This window comes from Homo sapiens, chromosome 3 (genome assembly GCF_000001405.40).
Source record: "Homo sapiens chromosome 3, GRCh38.p14 Primary Assembly".
NCBI lineage: Eukaryota > Metazoa > Chordata > Mammalia > Primates > Hominidae > Homo > Homo sapiens.
The window spans coordinates 192,694,526-192,718,165 of record NC_000003.12 but is presented as its reverse complement, the minus strand read 5'-3'; the positions used below and the strand labels follow the sequence as shown (position 1 = coordinate 192,718,165).

Sequence of the window (23,640 nt, the reverse complement as noted above, 5' to 3'; positions counted from 1 at the left end):
AAAAGAAAGACTAACAGAATAATGACAAACAGTCCAAGGGCTGAGTGTTTTACTGACATTATTGATAGGAAGTCTGATTTTCTTTAGTTCTCAATCATTAGTAATATATTACTAAAAAACAATTGCACTCAATCCTTCATTGCCTTCAAACAATTTAAAAACCAATAACTATGTCTTCCAATGTTTGATTGGCTACTGATCATTTTAGATAGAAGAAGCATTTTCTACCACCAGATGAAAGCTATCCAAGGTCTAAGGGTTTCATGGTTAATAAACTGAATTTCTTGATTATGCGAAGAATAAAAGAAAGGGAAATATCTAACAGCCATTAACATGTTTATGAACATGGGTTATAATCAGAAGTGTTTATGACATAATGGTAATTATAAAAATAGTACATGTGGATATATGCACTAATTATAATGTAAAATTTGGTCATTGGCAAATAGTAGATTGTATTATGCAAAAAGTGACAATATTTGGATAATGACGATTGAATTATAAGTGGAGTTTTATCCTTTTTCACATATTTTATTACAGTTTTTTTCCCATAAAGCAGATTTTCTTTCTATGCTTTATGGGGAAAAAAACTGTAATAGGTGTTGGGTTCAGTTATAAACTTAAACAGATCCAGCTAAACTTAAAAAAGCTCTTTATTCTTCATGCTTTCATGCTTTATTCATGTCAAACATTGAAAGGACATTTGGAAAGATAACTGAGTCTTTTGAAATAATGCTTTTGCAGCTTTTACTATGTTTAGGCACTGTACTTTACATATATTGACTCACTTAAGCCTCATAAAAACCCAATGAGGCAGGCACTATTGTCATCCCTATTTCAGGGATGAGAAAAGTCAAGCATAGAGATGTTAAGTAATTTGCCCAGGTCACACAGCTAGTAAGTTGCAGACTGGCTTCAGAGTCTATGAGCTTAACCACTACTTAACACCCAAGGCATACTTTAGTATAGTCTTATAAGCCAATCAACCTTCCTTTGTTACTGAAAAACTAGTCCCACTGTGTATGTACAGATTTTATTAACCTTCAGAATACCCAATCTCTGCAGGCTTAGTCTCACTCAAGCCCTGGGCCAATAAGATACAGACTTGAGGAATCACTGGGCCTTCCTGCCTGTTATCAGGTGGGTTCAAGAAAGAACCCACTGCTCTTATGTGCCTTAAGTTGGCTTCCACCCCTAGGGGCTTAATTAAGCATTGGGTTGCAGCTTCTTTTTCTAACCCTCACATTGAATAACTGTTCTGTTTACCTGGGCAGCTCAGTGGTGTGGTAGAAAGATCGTAAGACTTGAAATCAAACACACAACTAACAACTTTTTAGTCTCTGTAACTTGGGTAAGATATATTTCTGTATCCTTGCTTCCTAATTTGTACAATGACGCTCTTTCTAGGTTAATGAGACAAACGAGGAAAATATATATAAAGAACCAAGCTTAAAATTAGTACTTAATAATTACAGCTGCTACTGTTGTTATTCTTGTTGTTAGCATTTGACCCTTAGGCTTACTACTTCCTCTGCTTCTGTATGGGGCTGGATTCTTTCCTTAAAATCCCTAAGATTCCTCTTCATCTTACCTAGTTTTATTTTGCTCATTTTTATCTGTTTGGAACCAGAGAATGCCATGCAGCTGTGGTATGCAGTTTAAAACAATGTAGTTAAGATATACTCGTTTTAAATTATGCAATAAAAACTGAGTGGCAGTGACATCAATTGATTCCTATACTGATTTTTTAAATCATAGTTTTACTATTTTTTTCCCATTATCTGGCTTACAATGAAGTCTAATTTCTTCAGAAGAAAGAACCTGACTATTTTAACAGGGATGTTGACGTTGTTGGCTGGGTCCAGGAAACATTGCATTGTTTATGTCAGAATCGTAAGGACAACTTTCTGACCAGTTTTCCAACTTAAGTGTGTACAAAAACACAGATCACTGGGCCCCACCCCTAGGGTTTCTGATTCAGTGAACCCAGGGTTAGCCCGGGCTTTTGAGTTTACTTTTCTACAAGTTCCCAGAAGGTGTTGATGCTGCTAGTCTAGATCTTTGAGAAAACCTGGTGTAGACAATCTAGTCTAAGATTCTCTTGCACTTGGGAATTCAATCTAGAAATAGATGTGTATTTTGCTGGTTATTCAGAAATATCAGAATAAGGGATCAGGGATAGCATTCTCATGAGGGAATTCCATAGCTTAAAAGAGTCAGTGATATCACGTATAGACAATTAGCCCAGCATTATCCACAACCACACTGGTTAATTAATTAATACAAGGATCCATGCTTGGACGTATCCATTTATCTGTGCCATGCACATTGCTTGTTACTGGGGCTAGACATGAAAAACCATGCAGTTACTGACCTCAAGAACACCTCACAAATTAGCTTTTGAAGATATGCATAAAGAGAAACCTAGGAAGAACTGACAGCTGGCAATACATGTGAAAATTTAGATTAAATTTACTTTTACCATCACATTGTCTGTGTGGATTGCTCTGGCTAGGCATTAGAGGCTAGGAACCAAGGACTAAGACAAGGTTTCAATTATCCCCTATTACACTAAATATCTAAATGTAATCTTTTGGGAATATAGAGAGGAATTTGACATCTAGGAAGGAGTTGGCATTTGAACTCACTCTTGCAGAAGGGATAAAATGAAAACATTGGAAAATCATTCTAGGCTGATGAAATATTATATGCAAAGGTAGAGAGACATTGATATACATGTAGTAGCCAGGAGAAGATTAATGGATTGCTTAGTTCATTCATCCAGTGTCCATTTATTGTGCTGGACACTGTTTTAGGTGCTGAATATAGTACTGACACTCTTTCCTCATGAACCATGTAAGGGTTGGGACAGGACACAGTAGATGATGAATCATATAAGGAAGAAAGGTTGGAAGCAAATTGTGGAAGCCTGTTACAAATTATGTAATGTAGGTGATGATTTCATTTACATTTCAAAAACATTGACTACTGTAATCATCTTTAAAAAATTAGATTCCTAGGTCTTCTAGAATACAATTCTACTTACAAAGCTTTAATTATTCACTAGCTTTTCAAGAACACATCTACTGTGCAAAGCAAGATATACGTACAAGAACACTGTCAGGGCCAGAAGAAATGCAGTGACCCAGTATTTCACTCTGATTTTTGCCAGTCTCTGCTGCTAACACACTTCTCTTGCTTAATGGAACAATGAGTTTCATTTCTGTTCACTTTTGGCTCTCAACTCTCTAAAATTCTAGCGTTGAAACTTATAGACTAGTATTCTAGGGTAAAGTTCCTTTTGAAAATAACCTTTCGAAAAGTGTCAGGCTTAAAAATTATTTCCTTGGCCGGGCGCGGTGGCTCACGCCTGTAATCCCAGCACTTTGGGAGGCCGAGGCGGGCGGATCACGAGGTCAGGAGATCGAGACCATCCCGGCTAAAACGATGAAACCCCGTCTCTACTAAAAATACAAAAAATTAGCCGGACGTAGTGGCGGGCGCCTGTAGTCCCAGCTACTCGGGAGGCTGAGGCAGGAGAATGGCGTGAACCCGGGAGGCGGAGCTTGCAGTGAGCCGAGATTGCGCCGCTGCACTCCAGCCTGGGCGACAGAGCGAGATTCCGTCTCAAAAAAAAAAAAAAAAAAAAAAATTATTTCCTTAAGATCTATAAATAAGACTCAGAATTATAACAGACTAAAAACTATGCAAGTACTAATATACGTGCATTTTGCAACTGTGCTATATGAATTTTCTCAAACTCATCTATGCTTAAATATATGAAGACTCACTTCAGAAATATGTTTGTCTCCAAACTCACCCATCACTTTCAATGGCATATTTTTGATATTATGATGACCCTTCCTTAGCGAAGACAGAGTTCTAAAAGAACAGTTTCTGAATCCAATTCTGGTCTTGATTTTTGTTTTCCTAATTCCTAGCCAAAGACATTGGGCAAGGGTCCTAATCTCCATAATCCTGGATTTCCTTATCTATATAATGGAGATAATAATAGTAGCTATTTATAGAGTTGTTTTTACTACTAAATAAGATAGTGTAAGTATTTACCACACTACCTGGCATATAATAAGCATTCAATAAAATGTAGATATTATTATTTTAAGTATCTCAGAACTGCTCTGGTACGAAATCATCGCCATGGGGTTTTGCTGAGTCTGATGGATTCGAGTTTGCTTAATTGTTTAAATGAAATTCAAGCACCACACTTGCAATGTGTGCCTTTAGTTGTAGCTCAGTGTAGTGCTGTAAAGTATGGCAGCTCCACAAAGATTTCACTTTTGAATCAAACACTTAAAACTGCTCCAGGAAGACACATCATACCAAACTGCATCATCGTGATCAATGGTTGAAGTCTAGAAAGCACCTTGTACAGGGAAGGTCTCAGCTTGATTGGTAAAAGATTTATGAACAAGATTTTGAAGATGAAGGTCAGCAGATGATTTTCATCTAATAACCATAAGGTGCAGTTAGACAGATGGCAACGACAGCCTTGTCTTGTCTCTGAGCAACCTCTTTTAATCTCAACTGACCCCAGTGAATCGTGTCTTAGTAAAGATGGGAGGATGTTGGGGAACACACTGCAATCTCCTGTGATACTCAATTCCATCAGAAATGCTTTTAGAGCAAAAGCAGTATAAAAACAATCTCTCATGCATAACATTTGAGGTGATTTCTTCTTTCTTTTTCTGTTTTTACTTGCTATTTTTGTCACAGTTATACAAAGTATATTGTGAAATATAGTACTTTCTTGTCCTCTCTCCCATTTTTTCCTCTACAATCACTTTCGACTCTTGTTGATATTTACCTTCATATGCTAAACAATATTCTCTTCTTACTACCTCTTAATTTCTCAGCGTCCCACCAAGGAAATAGCTTTCAAGTCTCTCCCTTTATCACATTCTTACCACAACATGCCTCCTTTCCATCTCACCATCTTTCCAAGGCTGTTACATTGTTATTTTTGTTAGATCAGTATTTAGTAGTTGCATGATTATGATTATGTAAATACTTTCATGACTAAGACAAATTAAACTATGATTACTTTTGTCATAAGATTTTGTTTTTTTTCTGTGGTTGATAACTGTCTTGTTTTTACGTGCCCAGCTTTCTACATACTTTGTACTATATTTAACTCCAAGTCCCTGCCAGTTATCTGAATCTCATCTGAAGACACTCAGATGCACAGATATTCTATCAATTTCATCGTGAAGTAATATCCCTCAGAACCTGATGACTGGGTGCTATGTGCACCCTTTTTCTGTGCATTGCTTTGGTCCCAGGGTCTCTTTTTCCATCACCCTAGAAAATTTTTGCAGGTCTCTGCTTGGATCTCTTGTTCTCCTGCATCCTCTGTATTAGTTCACTCTCTTATTTTGGTGGAATACATTCTCCAACAGCTTCCTAAAAAAAAAAGGATACACAGTAAAATTTCTGAGCCTTTTCATATCGGAAAATATCTTCATTTTTCCTCATATTTGAACAATCGTGTGGTTAGGTATAGAATTCTAGATTTAAAATAAGTTTTCTTCAGAACTTAAATTACACCATTACAACATCTTTTTTTCTGCCAGTTTTGTTGTTCTGGTCTGATATCATTCTAACATTCTGATTTCTTATTTTTTGTACATGCTTGATTTTTTTTTCTCTGAAAACTTTTAGTGTCTATTCTTTTTTCTCAGTGTTTTGAAAATTGATAGTAATTTGCCTTCTTATAGTTTCATTTTCACTCATTATGCTGTGTATTTACTGTGGAAACTCTTCTTTAATTCTAGAATTTTTTTCTTTAATTCTTTAATCTCTAGAAAATTGAAAATAATTTAGTTTTTGAAAATATTTTCTTAATGATCTCCTACTCTCTTTTTTTTGTTATTGTTGTTTTGTTCTGGTATTCTGGAAATCTTACTTGTTTATATTTTGGATTATTTTTCATAGGTTTCTATTTTTCATATGTTTTATTTCCTGTTCTCTACCTCTTTTGTCTTTTCTCTATTTTCTAGATTATGGGCTCAAGTTTATCTTTTAATCTTTTTCTTAGATGTTTTCTTTAATTTCTGGTATCAGATTTTTAATTTCCAAGAGGCTTATTTGTCTGTTTTCTTTAATTGTTCAGTTTTATATTATGCCGTCTTATTTCACAGATGCGATATTTTCTAATACTTTGCTGAGAATAATTATGATTTACATTTTTTTTTTTTTTTTTTTTTTGATCGTTCTTGGGTGTTTCTCGCAGAGGGGGATTTGGCAGGGTCATAGGACAATAGTGGAGGGAAGGTCAGCAGATAAACAAGTGAACAAAGGTCTCTGGTTTTCCTAGGCAGAGGACCCTGGGAACTTCCGCAGTGTTTGTGTCCCTGGGTACTTGAGATTAGGGAGTGGTGATGACTCTTAAGGAGCATGCTGCCTTCAAGCATCTGTTTAACAAAGCACATCTTGCACAGCCCTTAATCCATTTAACCCTGAGTGGACACGGTACATGTTTCAGAGAGCACCGGGTTGGGGGGTAAGGTCATAGATCAACAGCATCCCAAGGCAGAAGAATTTTTCTTAGTACAGAACAAAATGGAGTCTCCTATGTCTACTTCTTTCTACACAGACACAGCAACAATCTGATTTCTCTATCTTTTCCCCACATTTCCCCCTTTTCTATTCGACAAAACCGCCATCTTCATCATGGCCCGTTCTCAATGAGCTGTTGGGTACACCTCCCAGACGGGGTGGCGGCCGGGCAGAGGGGCTCCTCACTTCCCAGAAGGGGCGGCCGGGCAGAGGCGCCCCCCACCTCCCGGACGGGACGGCGGCTGGGCGGAGATGCCCCCCACCTCCCGGATGGGGCGGCTGGCTGGGTGGGGGCTGCCCCCCACCTCCCTCCCGGACGGGGCGGCTGGCCGGGCAGGGGCTGGCCCCCACCTCCCTCCCGGACGGGATTTACATTTTTAAAGAAGTTTTAATCTCCCTCTATAACCTCTGTTTCCAGTAAGCTTTTTGTTTGTTTTCATTTCTATCTTTCATGTTAGAGATTTCCCGAAGATATTTTTATATTTGGTTACCTGTTCATATTTAAAAGTGGGTGTAGGGGGCTAAAAAGGTGACTGGAAGCTCTGTGTTCATGGGTGGGGCTTGTTGTCAATGATCTTAGTTGTAGAGTGATGTTGGTGGGCTTTTCACTGTGGAGCTCCTGAGGTCCGTATCTTTAGGTCTTACCTCTTACGTTTCCAAGATTCCTCAAAGAAGACTCTTCCATTCTCTTGCCTGAATGGGAAAGACCTGGCTGTGAGGGTCCTGTGGGTTTTGGAAATCCGTAGAAATGTTCACTTAATCTCCTGATTTTCAGTGTGGTATTCACTCTGTCCACTATGCAGAGAGTTTCTGCTCTATCCACTACAAAGAATAAATATCTAGTCTTCTCCTGGGATTGTGGAGAGCAGTTGGCTAGATGCTTGATGTTTGGGAGAGGATTTGAGGTTATAATACCGTCCTAAAAACAACCTTTCCACCATTTTTGCATAATTTACCCTTTTCTCCTTCAGCTCACTTCTAGACAAATCTGGTGCTACCACTGTCTAAACTTTTGAAGATTGTGCAATCCAAGTTAGTTGCCTGTTGGCTTTCTCCACTGCTGACTTAGGACCTCAGCTTTCTCAGATCTGAAAAATATATCTTCACCAGCTGGTTTTCCAGTTCTAAAATTTTGTTGTTGTTGTTTTCTTCTCTCTCTTTTGTTCCATCTTTAAAGAATTATGCAAAACATATAAACACACCTGCATCCATTTATTGTACTTTTAATTATGTTTCAAGTAGGAATGAAAGTAAAAGCCAGTGTTCAATATTTTATCCTTACTTGAAAGGATAAAATACAAAATACTAAATAATATTAAATACTAAATACTTACATCCAAAAATACTAAATAACCCCATGGAAAGATACTCTCAACTCAGAAGTGCTTGATGTAGCATTTTGGGGAGTTCTCAGCAGTGCCCTGGCCAGCTCCCTCAGTTTATCCAATATACTGTAGGCTGTCAGACGTAAGGGTCATTAAGGTATTCTTCCCTTGAGAAAACACCATGCAAATAGCTTTAAAAAGTTACTGGCTTAAGAAAATTACCAAGGTCATCTCCAGACAGGTTTTTAAAGTTACCTTTGACATTCTCATTTGTCTGTTCTTCCACTTTTCAAGCATACATTGGACACATAGCCTGAGCCATGCATATTGCCATGAGTTGGCAAAACAGGATAATGAATAAGAGACTGACCTCATGAACCTTCCATGCTATCACGGAAGACAGACACCAGTGTTCAAGATGCAATATGGTAAATGCCATCATAAAGATATTAACAAGTGCTGGAGGCTCTAGGGGGTGGAAGTGATTAAGTCGGTCTTCAAAACTCATGATTGGAAATGTGTCTTAACTCTCACTATTCAAGCAATAATTTTCCAGAACAATCCCCTGGCCAATTTATAACTGGAAAACTTAATAATTTCCCAGCACCATAATAGAGTCTTAACTTGGTCAGAAGAGAATTTGAAAGTGATTTTCAGCTTCTTCATTTTATCTGGGAAAACCTGGCTCAATCCTGGTGAAGTCAAGACTGAAACTTAGGTTTCTTGAGTCTCATAGTAATATACTTTCCACTAAATTATATTGAGCCCCCACCCAAAAGCCCAATTATTTTTTGATATGACTGAAATTTTAATCAGTAGCTCTGAGTCTCAGAGATCTGGACATACTGATTTTAAAGACCTCTAAGAAGTTCTTTCAAAACAGTAACTTAAATGAAGGAGCTGTACTTTGGATACAGATACAGGACTCCAAACTCGTTCATGTAATGCCATAAAGAGAGAATGGCTTGGAGTTTTCATTGCTTCTTTTGAAAGCAGGGCTACCATTCTTAAGCTAGAAGAACAGGGCTCTTCTTATTTGTACAGGTTAGTATTGATTGAACTTCAAATCAGCCAGCAAATTCAGGGGATAGTTGTCTGGATGAAGCTTCGGTGTGTCATTTTGCAATATATTTTTGAGACATTTCTGTGTTTACATTGCCTTGAAAGTACACAACAGATGTATAAACATATAATTTAAACATTTTGGAGAGGCAGACAATGTTGTCTTCAGTGAACACTTAAGAATGTAATGTATTCTGTTAAATGTATGGTTTCATGACTTAATTAATGATTAGCAAATGGTATATTATGGGAAAGCTAAGAACTATAAAAATATATTGTTCAATTGTCAGTTCTTTATCAGTAATATAATATTAACAATAATTACATTACTCATTCAAAGCACAATACATCTTGCAAGTGATATTATAATATCTTCCCAAAGTATATTAACTTTTTATTTCCACAAATGCTTAGATTGTAATTTTCTCAATAAAGCTTTTGCTTGATCCTCTTCTGGTAAGAAGTCCTTCTTTCCCTGGTCCTTCAAATCTCTCCTGTAGTGTTGATTTCTTTCTGTGCTATACTATAGTTCCTTGGGTCCTAGCTTGTTTTCTAGGCTGTGAATTTCATGAAGGCAAGGGCTGTCTTCTTCTTTGTAATTTCAGTGGCTTGGCACATGTTAAGCATATAATAGAAGGTAAATTGAGTTAATTCTATAGGGACTATGTCATTCTGCTTTGTAATTTCAGTGACTTGGCACATGTTAAGTATACAATAGAAGGTAAATTGAGTGAGTACTATAAAGCCCTCAATATATTAACATAAAATCTTTGTTTATTTAATTTTTATAGCACTTTTCATTATATCTGAGGCATAAAGTAGCTAAAGTCTCAGGGATGATGTACATGTAACACACATGCTTCAAGATTTCCTTCTTTCACTTTTGAAACGCCTTTCATCTCTCACCCTAGGCTGTTAGAGCCCTCTAAATAACGGATCCTATTGGCTGGACAAGGCAGTTCACACCTGTAATCCCAGCACTTTGGGAGGCCGAGGTGGGTGGATCACGAGGTCAGGAGATCGAGACCAACCTGGCTAACACGGTGAAATCCCGTCTCTACTAAAAATACAAAAAATTGGCCGGGTGTGGTGGCAGGCGCCTGTAGTCCCAGCTACTTGGGAGGCTGAGGCAGAAGAATGGAGTGAACCCAGGAGGCGGAGCTTGCAGTGAGCCGAGATCGCGCCACAGCACTCCAGCCTGGGTGACAGAGCGAGACTCCGTCTCAAAAATAAATAAATAAATAAATAATAATAATAATGGATGCTATTCCATATGACTGAACTTCCTGTTGTCCATGGAAGAGAATCATCAATCCTCATCCCTGGGAAATCTGGCTCGGCATAAAAACTTTCTCCTGCACCTTGGTGGAAGAAATTCCTGTGCTGTTTCTAAAAATGAGAAAGAAAAAGAAAAGAAAACATTCTCTGTTGTTCTCATTCTTTTTTTTTTTTTTTTTTGAGAAGGAGTCTCGCTTTGTTGTCAGGCTAGTGTGCAGTGGCACAATCTTGGCTTATTGCAATCTCCACCTCCCAAGTTCAAGCGATTCTCCTGCCTCAGCCTCCAGAGTAGCTGGGATTACAGGCACCTGCCACCACACCCAGCTAATTTTTGTGTTTTTAGTAGAGACGGGGTTTCACCATGTTGGCCAGGATGGTCTCGATCTCCTGACCTCGTGATTCATTTGCCTCAGCCTCCCAAAGTGCTGGGATTACAGGCGTGAGCCACCGCACCCAGCTATTGTTCTCATTCTTGAACAATGGGGAACAGCATGATTCTTTATTATTATTTGTGTATCTGTGTTGTGACCTGTCTTCTGGTTCTCTTCCTTCTTGACAAAGACTGGATGTGCCATTCTCGGTCAGCTCCCATGAAGCCAGCTCTGAACACCTCCTTGCATTCTAAGTACAGCCTTGTCATTAGTTACACCCCTGGCATTAGTGACTGAGATTGCACTTCTCAGGACCTTTTGTGAGTCCCAAAAAAGAGACTTCTGCATCAGTTCAAAGGGTGGCATTTCTGGAGCTACAACTATTACAACCTTTGTTGTTGAAGATAACCTGGGATTTCTGCTTCTTGAGGCCTGAGGTTAGAGATGTTTCAGTTTCCTCAACTCAAAAGCGGAAACTGAAATAAATGGGTAATGAAGGCCTTTCTTGTCCTTGATGTGTGAATCCATTTTCTGGACATTCATTTCTGTGACTGTCTTGTCCTTTTCCTCAACAATTCATCTGTTACTTTTGCATGGGTTATTCATCTGGTTAGTATTAACATTCTTTTGAAATCATCTTCTATATTAATAAACACTTCACAAATCTATTGGTGAAGTCGCCTTAGAATCTTGGCTTAATGGGATTATAGTGAATAATTCTTTTTCTTTGATTCTATCTCTGTAACAAAAATTGCTGTGGATTTATGTATAGAAAACTAGATATGTTGTAAAAAGGTCAGGGTTCAAGTTTAGCTCTGTGACCTTGGACATTTCATTTTATCTTTCTAGGCCTTAGTGTGTTGTAAGCGGAGGTAAATATCTTGCATCTGGGGTTCTTGCGGCGGGGATTCAAGGAGAGAAAGTATTTGGGAAGTGCTTTGTAAACGATATTGTACTATATGACAAGCAAGTTGTTATTAATAGAGGCCTGACTACTCCCAATTGTTTCTGCTTGGTCAGTTAGTTCTAGATGAGTAAATTGGAGAGGACAGAAAGGAAGGAAGTGGCACTGGGCGGGGAGCCGGGTGATCTGGAATTCATCCGGGTGCTGTTCGGCGGTCAGTCGGTGACTTAACGTGACCTTGGCAAAGTCGCTTTGCCTCATGTGCTTCTGTTACGTCATTGGTAATATGAGGTGGGCGAAAGAAAAGATGATCCAGAGACTTTTTTCCAGTTTATAAAAGCATGTGATTATTAGAGTTTAAATTATGAGATTATTATTTATTTAAGGATATCATTGAGTTTAGATTATTAAATCATAAGTCTTACCAATAGTGGGCCCAAATAATATACATATTTTGAATATATAATTTCAATGAATTATTTTAAAGAAAATGCCAAAACTTCATCTTTTAACCACTGAAAAGGAACTAATGAAGTCTCCTATTCACTACATTTTTGTATTGTATTTGGAAGGAATGTGTGTATTTAAAGGGAGGCTAAGGATTAACAGATGAAATTCTGTATGAGAAACCAATTGTGTCTACAGCACCTAAAGCACATTCTGTTGTGATATATTCTCTAGTTACTTTAAATTTGTTTGTTTTCCTTCATTTAACCAAAAAATGAATAATTGTAAAGAATCAGGCACTATGTTAATCACTGTAGTTAAGATAATTCCTATTATAAGACATGGTTGATCTAGTGTAGAAAGCAACATGGCTTAAAAATTATACAGGGATGCCTCGTGTCATTGTACTTTGCAGATGTTGCATGCGTCGCATATTGAAGCTCTGTGGAAACCGAGAGTTGAGCAAGTCTATTGGCACCATTTTTCTAAAGCACGTGCTCACTTCAGGTCTTTGTGTCACATTTTGGTAATTCTTACAGTCTTTTAAGTTATTCTATTATTATAACTTTCATGGTGATCTGTAATATTTGATGCTATTATTGTAATTGTTTTGGGAGTGCCACAAGCCATGCCCACATAAGACAACAACTTAATCCATAAATGTTGTATGTGTTCTGACTGCTGAAGGAAGAGAAACAAATTTAAAGTTACTAGAGAATATATCACACCAAAATCTGTTTCCAGTGTTGTAGACATAATTGACTTCTCAAACAGAATTTCACCTGTTAATTCTTGTGTGTGTTCTGACTGACTGTCTGTTCCCCATCTTTCTCCCTCTTCTCAGGCCTATTTCCTGAGACACGAAGATATTAAAATTAAGCCAATTAGTCACCCTAAAATGGCCCTTAAATGTTCAAGTGAAAGGAAGAGTCACATGTCTCTCACTTAAAATCAAAAGCTAGTAATGATTAAACTTAGTGAGGAAGGCATATTGAAGGCTGAAATACGCTGAAAGCTGGGCCACTTGCCCTAAACAGTTAGCCAAGTGGTGTATGTAAAGGAAAAATTATTGAAAGAAATTGAAAGTGCTACTCCAGTGAACACAGGAAGGATAAGGAAATGAAACAGCCTTATTGCTGATGAGAAAGTTGTAGTGATCTGGATAGAAGATCAAATCAGTCACAACATTTCCTTAAGCCAAAGCCTAATACAGAGCAAGGCTCTCTCTTCAATTCTGTGAAGGCTGAGAGAGATGAGGAAGCTGCACAATAAAAGTTAGAAACTAGCAGAGGGTGGTTCATGAGGTTTAAGGAAAGAAGCCATCTTTGTAACATAGTGCACAAGGAAAAGCTGCAAGTGCTAATGTAGAAGCTGCAGCAAGTTATACAAAAATATCTAGCTGAGATAATTGACAAAGGTGGCTACACTAAACAGCAGATTTTCAATGGAGACTTCATAGTCTTCTATTGAAGAAAATACCAACTACAACTTTCATAGTGAGAAAGAAGTCAATGTCTGGCTTCAAAGCTTCAAAGGACAGGCTCACTTTTTTGTTAGGGGCTAATGCAGCTGGTGACTTTAAATGGAAGCCAATGCTCATGCACCATTCTGAAAATAGTAGGGCCCTTGAGAATTATGTTAAATATACTCTGCCTGTGTTCTATAAATGGAACAACAAATCCTTGATGAAAGGCCATTTGTTTAAAGGATGGCTTACTGAATATTTTAAGCCCACTATTGAGACTTACTGCCCAGAAAAAGAAAGATTTCTTTTAAAATATTACTGCACATTTACAATGCACCTGGTCATCCAAGACTTCTCATGGAGAAATACAAGGAGATTAATGTTGTTTTTATGCCTGCTAACACAACAGCCATTCTGCAGCCATGGATCAAACAGTTATGATCCATGAATGATCAACAGCCATCCTATAGCTATGGATCAAATAGCTATGGATCAAAGAGTAATTATGACTTTCAAGTCTTTTTATTTAAGAAATATATTTCATAAGGCTTACTTGCTGTAGATAATGATTCCTCTGATGGATCTGGGCAAAGTAAATTGAACATCTTCTGGAAAGGAGTCATCATTTGAGATGATATTAAGAATATTTATGATTCGTAAGAGTAGGCCAAAGTATCAACATTAACAGTAGTTTGGAAGGAGTTGATTTCAATCCTCATGAATAACTTTGAAGGTTTCAAGACTTTGGCTTATGTCTATAATCCCAGTGCTTTGGGAGGCAAAGACAAGAGGATTGCTTCAGTCCAGGAGTTTGAGACCAGCCTGGGCAACACAGTGAGACCTTGTCTCTACAAAAAAATTTTTAAAAATTAGCTGGGCACAGTCATGCAATCCTGTAGGAGGAACTGTCAAACACTTATAAAACCATCAGATCTCCTGAGAACTCTCTCACTATAATGAGAACAGCATGGAGGAAAAACTGTCCCTACAATCCAATCACCTCCCACTAGGTTTCTCCCTTGACATGTGAAGATTATGGGGATTAAAATTACTGATGAGATTTGGGTGGGGACACAGAACCAAACCATATCACAGGGTTTGAGAGGATTTACTCCAGTTTTGAAAGAAGTTCTACTGTGGGTAAAATGCTATCAAACAGTATCATATTCTATAAAAAACTTTTGTGAAAGGGAGAGTCAATCGATGTGACAAACTTGAGTGTTGTCTCATTTTGAGGAACTGCTAAAGCCATCCCAATCTTCAGCAACTACCATCATGATCAATCAGCAGCCATGAGCATCAAGGCCAGATTCTTCACCAGCAAAAAGATTACGAATTGCTGAAGGCTCAGATGATTGTTAGCAATTTTTTAGCAATGATGTGTTTTCAAATTAAGGTGTGTACATTATTTTTTAGACATAATGCTCTTATACACTTAATAGACTGTAGTATCATGTAAATATAACTTTTCTATGCACTAGTAGCCAAAAAATTTGTGTCACTTGCTTTATTGCAATATTCACTTTATTGTGGTTGTCCGGAACCCAACCCACTATATCTGTAAGGTATGCCTGTATAAGGAAGATAAAACACAATTCCAAAATTATAGGATAAGGGATTAACTTTGCTGAAAAGATAGAGGGAATATAAAAACAGCATATTTAAAATGCTTTATAGATTATAAGTGTTTCTTATGTACCGTTTTATTTAAATATTAAACAGACTTTGTCAGGTATAGAACGAAATACCATCTTTTGGTAATCAGTTTGGAATCTCCTGCAACTCTCAAAGCCTGAGCAATGTAGAGAAAATACTAATAACATATATTGTTATTTAAATAATTAAGGTGGATAGTTATATGTAATCAACTCTTTAAAATTTCTGAAAGTTTTGCCTAAAATGACTTAGACTAGTTTTTTTTAAATTTAAATTTTTATTTTTTAACAGAGTCTTGCCCTGTTTCCCTTGCTCAGGCTGGAGTGCAGTGGTGCAGTCTCAGCTCACTGCAATCTCCTCCTCCCGGGTTCTAGTGATCCTGCCACCTCAGCCTCCCGAGTAGCTAGGACCACAGGTGCATGCCACCATACCTGGCTAATTTTTGTATTTTTGCAAAGCTAGGGTTTCGCCATGTTGCCCAGGCTGATCTTAAACTCCTGGACTCAAGCAATCTACCTCCCTCATTCTCCCAAAATGCTGGGATTACAGGCGTGATCCACTGTGCCTGGCCTTTTTACATTTGGGCATGAATATTACCCTATTAGTCATTCTCTTTTTAAATAAGAAGGCTATAAGAAAGTTTTCAACTTACATAATGTAGGTATTTAGTTCTATGTATATTTTCAAGGTGAATTTCTCTAACACTTATAGCACATTTGTTTGTGATCACAAAGCTAGGAGAAACCTTAGTTCCATTACCTAACTTTAGAATTATCCACAATAGCCAAGATATGGAAACAACCTAAGTGTCCATAGAAAGGTAAATGGATGAAGAAACTGTGGTATATATATAATAAACTACAATTCAGCCTTTAAGAAAGGAGAGCCTGACATTTGTGACAACATGGATGAACTTGGAGATCATCCCATTAAGGGAAATAAGCCAGACACAGAAAGGAAAGTATGCATGATCTCACTTATACGTGGAATATTTTTTAAAAAGTCGAATACATAGAAATAGACAGTAGAATGGTGGTTACCAGGTTATTAGAGTTGTGGTGGGAGGTGCTAAGGGAGGGAGGGTAAAAAGTTTCAGTTATGTAGGATGAATAAGTTTGAAGATCTAATGTACAGAATGAGGGCTATTGTTAATAACATTGTATTGTATTATATACTGGGAATTTGCTAAGAGCAGATTTTAGGTGCTCTTACAAAAAAATGCTATCTGAGATGATGGAAATGGTAATTGGCTTGACTGTAGTAATCATTTCACTATATATGAAAACATCATGTTGTATACTTTAAATATATAATTTAAAAAATAATCTAACTTTACAGATAATGAATATAATATGCCTTTTTTCATAAAATAAAATTATTTTCATAAAAGATGTGTCTTGCTCAATCACAAAATCAGGACTATAATTATGGTCTCTGAGACCAGTTTTCTTGCCGCTATACCACAGTCAGAGTAAAGATCGCAGCAAGTAGAACTTCATTTGATATGGGAGGTGCCTAAAATTCTCTTGGTTGCTGTTTTTCTGTCAGCACAATATTTTTACATGAATTCTTTGAAAAATAATTAATGTGGTGTTTAAAGTTACTACTGCTTGTTGATGAAAAGAGTTTCACTGTGTAAAATATTTGATTAAATTTATTCTGAGCCAAATATGAGGACCATAACCCATGACATAGCCAGAGGAGATACCAAGAACATGTGCCCAGAGTGGTCGGGCTACGGCTTGGTTTTATACGTTTTAGGGAGACATGTCATCAGTCAATACCTGTAAGATGTATGTTGGTTCCATCTGGAAAGACAGGACAACTCAAAGGGGCAGGGCTCCCAGGTCATAGGTAGATTCAAAGATTTTCTGATTGACAATTGCTTGAAACAGTTATTATCTGAACACCTGGAATCAATAGCAAGGAGTGTCTGGGTTAAGATAAAGGGTTGTGGAAACCAAGGGGTTTTATCATGCAAATGAAACCTCCAGGTACCAGGCATCTGAGCTTTTATCAGACTTAAAAAGGTGCCAGACTCCTCTTAGTGAATTATCTCCTGGACTAGGGAAAAGATCAGAAAAGGGAAGAGGATTCTCTACATAATGTAGATTTCCTTACAAGAGACAGCTTTACAGGGCCATTTCAAAATATGTCAAAAAAATATATTTTGGAGTAACATACTTCAATTTCTTTCAGGGCCTGCTACCAGTCATGTTGGAATTTTATTGCTACAAAGAGTCTATTTTGTCAATCTTAAGATCTCTGTTTGAATGTTAATGCTGGTCAGTTGTGCCTGAATTCCAAAGGAGCAATGTATAATGAGGCATGTCCGACCCCCCTCTTCCCATCATGGCCTAAACTAGAGTTCCAGGTTTATTTGGAATGCTTTTAGCCAAGAAGGGTTCTATAAGTTGTTGGAGGCCTTAGAATTTTATTTCTGGTTTTCATATTGTACAGTACTAACATTTCAAGGAAGTTTGACTCTTTTGTGGCCTCAAATGCCTTTAATAATGTATCTGCTCAAACATGTTAAGTAGTTAAACATAAAACAAGGAGATATGGTGGTCAGAGTTATTGCTTCCATCCTTGCCTCAGTTTCAGTGACAAATCTTTAAAAATGAAATGTATCTTTTTATTATGATGTGACAGGACTTTATTTGGATTTGTTTTATTGCTAAGTAAAATTCTAATTTTACTTTATATGAACACATTAAATATAGTGAGCCTTAAATTTCAATAACTGTGGCTACAATTTAATTTTTTCTAAGAAAAGCCCAATTTTCTGGTTTTATGAATGTGATCTTTGTTTATATGTTATATTACTTGGATATTGTTAAAGCATTGTGTCCATTTTTGGACTGCAGTTTAGAAGAAGCTCATAAAAATAGACAGAGTATGTATATAAAATGAGCACTTTAATGGCAGGTTAAGAGAACTGACGTTGCTTAACCTGAAAAAGAGAGAGCTCTGGAAACGTGCTAATTACCACCCTCAGGCATCTGAAGTGATTTTGTAAGAAGTACTGTAGTTTTTCTTTCCACTTAGAAAGGAGAGATTTGGGTTCTATCTTGTGTTAGAGGTGATGGGAGCATCTCAGGGATTCAGCAAGGGTAATTGCAGTTTTCATCTGTTAATATCTCTTAAGAGAAGGATACAATGAAATGATTAGGTATGATGAAATAACTTACTCCAGCATGGGACATTGTCTCTCAGGCCTTCCTCCTAAAGATGAGGAACTAGAAGCTCAGAGAGTGCTGGAGAGAGAACTTACATCAAGATCTTGCATCAAGCCTTACATCAGGGCTTTTGCATGTCTCTGCACTACTTCTGAATACTTACTGAGTGATCTAATATTTCATTAGAGTTGACTACACAAAATTAATTGGAATGGGAGGTCAAGCTCAGGATAAATTGAGAAATGCACCTCTTTCCAAGTACTGCAGGTGATGGCTTATTTTGTTAGAGTGGTGACTTTCTGCTAGTGTGGCTGAAGAGGAACAGATGTGTTGATTTTGATTGATTTGCATTTAGAAATTATGCAATATTTGTAACGTGTCCTAGATCATTGTGCTCTTCTTTTATAAAATAGAAATAAGCGTGTAGGCGTGGATATATTGCACCCCACCATGACCGAATAGTTATTACTTGGAATTTTTCACACCTAGCAGTGGTGCTGATGTTTCAAGTATAGCTTTTTGAGAGCCATGATTACCACTGACTCATTCCTTTTCTATGACTTGAAATCGTGTAGGAAAGGGAAGAGTAGATAAGTTTAAAGAGATTTCCTTGTTGCAGAAAACACTAAGGTATAACAAAATGAAAGAGTTGCAAATGGCATGGATGATGTGTTGCCCAAACCCTCCTCTGAGAGATGTAAAACTTGAAGCCAGGAAAAAGACATGGCTGGTATTTGGAGATAGGTGAGGACTAGAAACCAGGAATAAGAAGGAAAAACAAAACTGAAAGCTGCAAATGGGTTATAAGGATTTATCGGGAAACACTGATGGCAGGTTTTTAGTGGCTAAGACAAAGTTATCACCCATATCTTTATACAGAAAGAGGGAAGACAACTCTTTCATGACATATAACTCTCTTTAAAGCATTAACATACGGAACTTTTCTGAAAGGGTCAAAGGGGACTAATACTGAAAATGGAAGTGAACAATGTGATGAGCACTCTGAAAGGGTGAGGTGTATTGACAACTAAGGTCTTCTCACTGGTATTTTGTGGTTTCTTTTTGAAAAATGGAGGTGATTCTCACCTTTTGGGGGAAGATCTGTTGCTATTTGACCATCATTGGCAAGTATCTAACTGTTTCACATCTCCAGAGAACCAAAGGTAAATTATAAAGCTGACAGGAATATAAAAATTCATCATTTCTGCTCAGTGTATGAATTTGGATTAATATTTAATGATTCATTAAATTTTTGTATTTTGTCTTCTTCCCACTGTCAGTGAGTAAGGTTTAATGGAATTGAATGAAGTCTATGTTTACTCACTTTTATGGCTTCTGTGTCCTCAGGATAATGTCTGACGCATATTAACACTCAGTAAATATTTTTATTATTGTTGTTGTGTATACAGCCATTGCTATTCTTATTTTTGGTATTATATGATATTGGTGTTTAGAAGGGACTTAGAACCTGGTGTAATTCCTGTATTTTGTGATAAAAGACTGAGGCTAGGAAAGGGCCTGTATAAACTTATACAGCTACATAAACAAAACTTGGTTATACTGACTTCATTTATCTCCTAGTCCAGAACAATACATTTTTGAGTAAACAACTTTGTTAGAGGAGGTCATATATAGTATATAGTTTTGATGAGCATGCACATTATCTGAGATTCAATACTTTAATAACCCTCTTATTAATTGATTAGTTAATTCATTAAAATATTGATTTGTTAATTCACCAATATTTCTTGAGACTTATTGTGTGCTAAGCACTGCTTTATATAGAGCAGTGAACAAAAGCCAATAGAGTTGTCTGAGTTTATGAAGTTTACCTTCTGTGATGGGAGAGAGACTATCAAATAAATAGAACATTTTATGTCAGATGTTGGCAAGTATCATGAAAAAAAAAAGATCAGGCAAGGGGACAGGGGATTTTAGGAGACATTAGCGGATTAATTTAGAATTTTACTTAGGTAGGTCATGAAAGACCTCACTGAAGAGGCAACATTTGCACAAGCACTTGAATTAGGCAAGGGAGCAGCAATGAGCAAACAATGGTCTATTTGGGAGAGCAGCATTTCAGATGGAGGGAACAGCAAATGCAAGTCCTCTAAGGAGTCGTGTGCTTGGCATATTTGCAAAGCATCAAGGAAGCCAGTGAAGTCAGTGAAAGTGAGAATGTTGGAGATGAACTTTGGTGAGGCCACAGTACATCTCCATCTTCATGGCCCATGTCTCCTGACCAGTGGCTTCTGTCACAGTCAAATCTCAGATATGCAAGGCAACACTCCTGGGACTAGTCAGTCCACCTTCTCCCTATTATAGGGTGCTTTCTGCCATAACCAGCTCCTTCAGGCAAGTAACATTTGAGCCTTCTGCCAGGTTGAAATAATAAGTGCCTCCTGAATACTAAACTGGGGATGGGAGTTGACCTTCAGTGAGTGCCCTTGTATATCAGAAATTTGGGACAGTATCAATAATTTCCCCTTAGAGAATGTGCATTTCTCTTCTGATGCAAGAGCCTCAGATTGCTGATGGGAGAGACAAGAAATGCAAAGTAGTTTGCAAGAAGTGAAATTCTTTCTATTCTGTTTCCAAAAGCAATGCAAGTCTAATGTATACCTTCGAAGAGTTGTTGTAGACTCAGACCATCTTTCATTTAAGAGAGCTGTGTGTTTTTCTACAAGGTTCCTCAGAGCCCCTCTAGTAACCTTTGGGGAATCATTGCATTGCTAAATCACCACATTAGCCTGCTGCCTTCTGGAAAATGCTGATCCCATTGCTTCTGTCAGCAGGAGAAGTCAGCCCTTGGGCTGGAACCAACCATATTGAGAACTAACTGAGAGGCGGGGGAGGGTGGGGAAGCCCTTAAAAAGAAGTTCAGATCTTCAGGGTAGTGTGGGGGGCAAACAATCCTAGGAAATGCTGTACTAAATAGAAAGCACCTGTTTTTATTATTGCTAATCATAAAATCACTTTTAAAAAAAATGCATTACAGTTTATAAAGCTTTTCCCTATCCCTTACCTCATTTAGTCTCCTCTTCAATCTAGTGTGGCCTTGTTATATAAAATGATACAAACCAGCACATCTGTATCACCCGAATCTTGTTAGAAATGCCCCACACAGACCTACTGAGCTAGAATTCACATTTAACAAGACCGCTAGCCCCTTTAAGTTTAAGAACATTGCTATAAAGCCTACAGAACAATAATTTCTTCTGATTACGGTAAGGAAATAGAGAATTAGCCTCATTGGGTGACTAAGCCAAGGTCACCCATTTAGTAAGTAGTGAAGTCAGGCTTCATACCCAAGCTTTGTGCCTCTTGTTCCAGCAGTCTCTTGGCTGCAGTCACTTCCCACTCCACAATCCCTTCATAGCATGCCTGCAATGTACTAGCTTTTGAAAGAAAAACAACCCTTTTTCTCTGAACCCACCTGCTCTTATTTTCTCCACCAGCTGTTCTGGGCTCCTCCCTCATCTGTTTGCTGATTCTAGAAGTGCAAACACACTGAAAAGCTCTGCAGCCATTGCCCACATGGTGCCCTCAATGAGTGAATCTGATAAGAATTGCTAGCATCAGTCACTTGCTCAGAGCTTCTCTGCAAAAACCTTCTGGCCTCACTTATAGGAAAGGGTAAGAATTCAGAACAAGACAACAGAGATCATGCAGCTGGAACATACTGGTGGGTACAAATGGGGTTTTCCACTATTGCTTACTGTTAGGAAATGATTAAAAAAAAAAAAAAAGCTGAGCTTAGCATCACAGAAAAACACATGTGCAGAGAGCTTCATAGCCCACCATTAAACAGAATCTTTCTCCGTCACCCAGGTTGGAGTGCAGTAGTGAGATCTCAGCTCAGTGCAACCGCTGCCTCCTGGATTCAAGTGATTCTCCTGCCTTAGCCTCCCAAGTAGCTGGGATTACTGGTGCATGCCACCATGACTGGCTAATTTTTGTATTTTTAGTAGAGATGGGGTTTCACCATGTTGGCCAGGCTGGTCTTGAACTTCTGACCTTAAGTGATCCACCCTCCATGGCCTCCTAAAGTACTAGTATCACTGGCATTAGCCACTGGCACCCAGCCCTTAAGGATATAAAACGTGCAGAAAGTGAGTGCCTCATCCTCGCCAACTAATTGACCCAATAAGTAGGCAAAACTTAGTCTGCTGGGTAAACAACCCCTCATCCATAGGAATCATACTTTGAGTGAGGGAAAATTCTAATAGAATTTTAAATATTTGATTGATAAATCCTGAACTAGAATTCCTTAAGTAAGTAAAGCTCACTGATCTCAGGTTGAATTCTCACATTTTATTAGTTAGTTTGTTAACTGAAAAAACTGACATAAGACATTTCCTGTGAACCTACTACATACATGAAGGTCATCAGAGTAGGTGATAGGAAAGTTTCTGGTATGAGTGATATCTTCCCTAAGAGCCTGCAGTTTAACAGAATTCACGTATATGTACATGCAAAATGATAATGGAACACAAAGGGACATTTCTCCCTTACCTTCCACCTCAAAGAATGAAGTCTTAATCTAGGAGGTGGCATTTGAATTATTTATGGACAGAAGGTAAGTTTGGGACATTCAGAGTCTGCAGAGTAGAGAAAGTCATGGGCAAGGTGAAAGGAACAATGTGAATAAGACACAACGAAAAATGCTAGGTTTGTATTTGGAATAGCAAATAATGTGTTGAATATGACTTGTAATCTATCAACTCAGAGATAAATATGCTTTTGTTTTCTTTTTTTCTGATTGTATATATTTAAGGTTACATGATGTTTTGATACACATAGACACAGTGAAATGATTACTACTGTCAAGCCAGTTGACACATCTGTCGTCTCACATAGTTATCTTTTTTTTTGTTAAGAACACCTAAAATCTACTCCCCTAGCAAATTTTTAGTATATGTACAAATATTATTCACAGTAGTCCTTATGCTGTACACTAGATCTCTACTTATCCTACACAACTGCAACTCTTTACCCTTTGACCTTCACCTCCCCATTTCTCCCCACCTTCCAACTTTGGTAACCAGCATTCCTCTCTCTGTTTCTATGTATTTGACTGTTTTTTAGTTTCCACATATAAGAGTGATACAGTGTATGCCTCTCTGTGCCTGGCTTATTTCACTTAGCATAATGTTCTCCAGGTTCATCCATGTTGTTGCAAATAGCAGGGTCTCCTTTTTTGAAGGCTGTATACTATTTTACTGTATACTATTTTACTGTGTACATATATATGTATATATATGTACGTATACGTATATACCCCATCTCTACGTACATATATATGTATATATGTACGTATATGTATATATATGTATGTGTATATATGTACACACACATATATGTATATACACCACAA

At 37.6% G+C, this 23,640-nt stretch overlaps 1 protein-coding gene across 3 annotated transcripts in view, besides 1 other annotated feature; it reads left to right on the top strand.

Moving 5' to 3' along the window:
• Positions 1-23,640, top strand: part of FGF12 (fibroblast growth factor 12) — a 588,152-nt gene that overhangs the window by 9,376 nt on the left and 555,136 nt on the right. The window lies entirely within an intron of this gene.
• Positions 16,744-17,408: an enhancer, noted in NCBI's record as "NANOG hESC enhancer chr3:192418547-192419211 (GRCh37/hg19 assembly coordinates)". NCBI's record gives its function as "activates a minimal SCP1, AML or CMV promoter by ChIP-STARR-seq in naive and primed H9 embryonic stem cells {active_cell/tissue: H9 hESC(naive and primed)}" and the evidence as "EXISTENCE:reporter gene assay evidence [ECO:0000049][PMID:30033119]".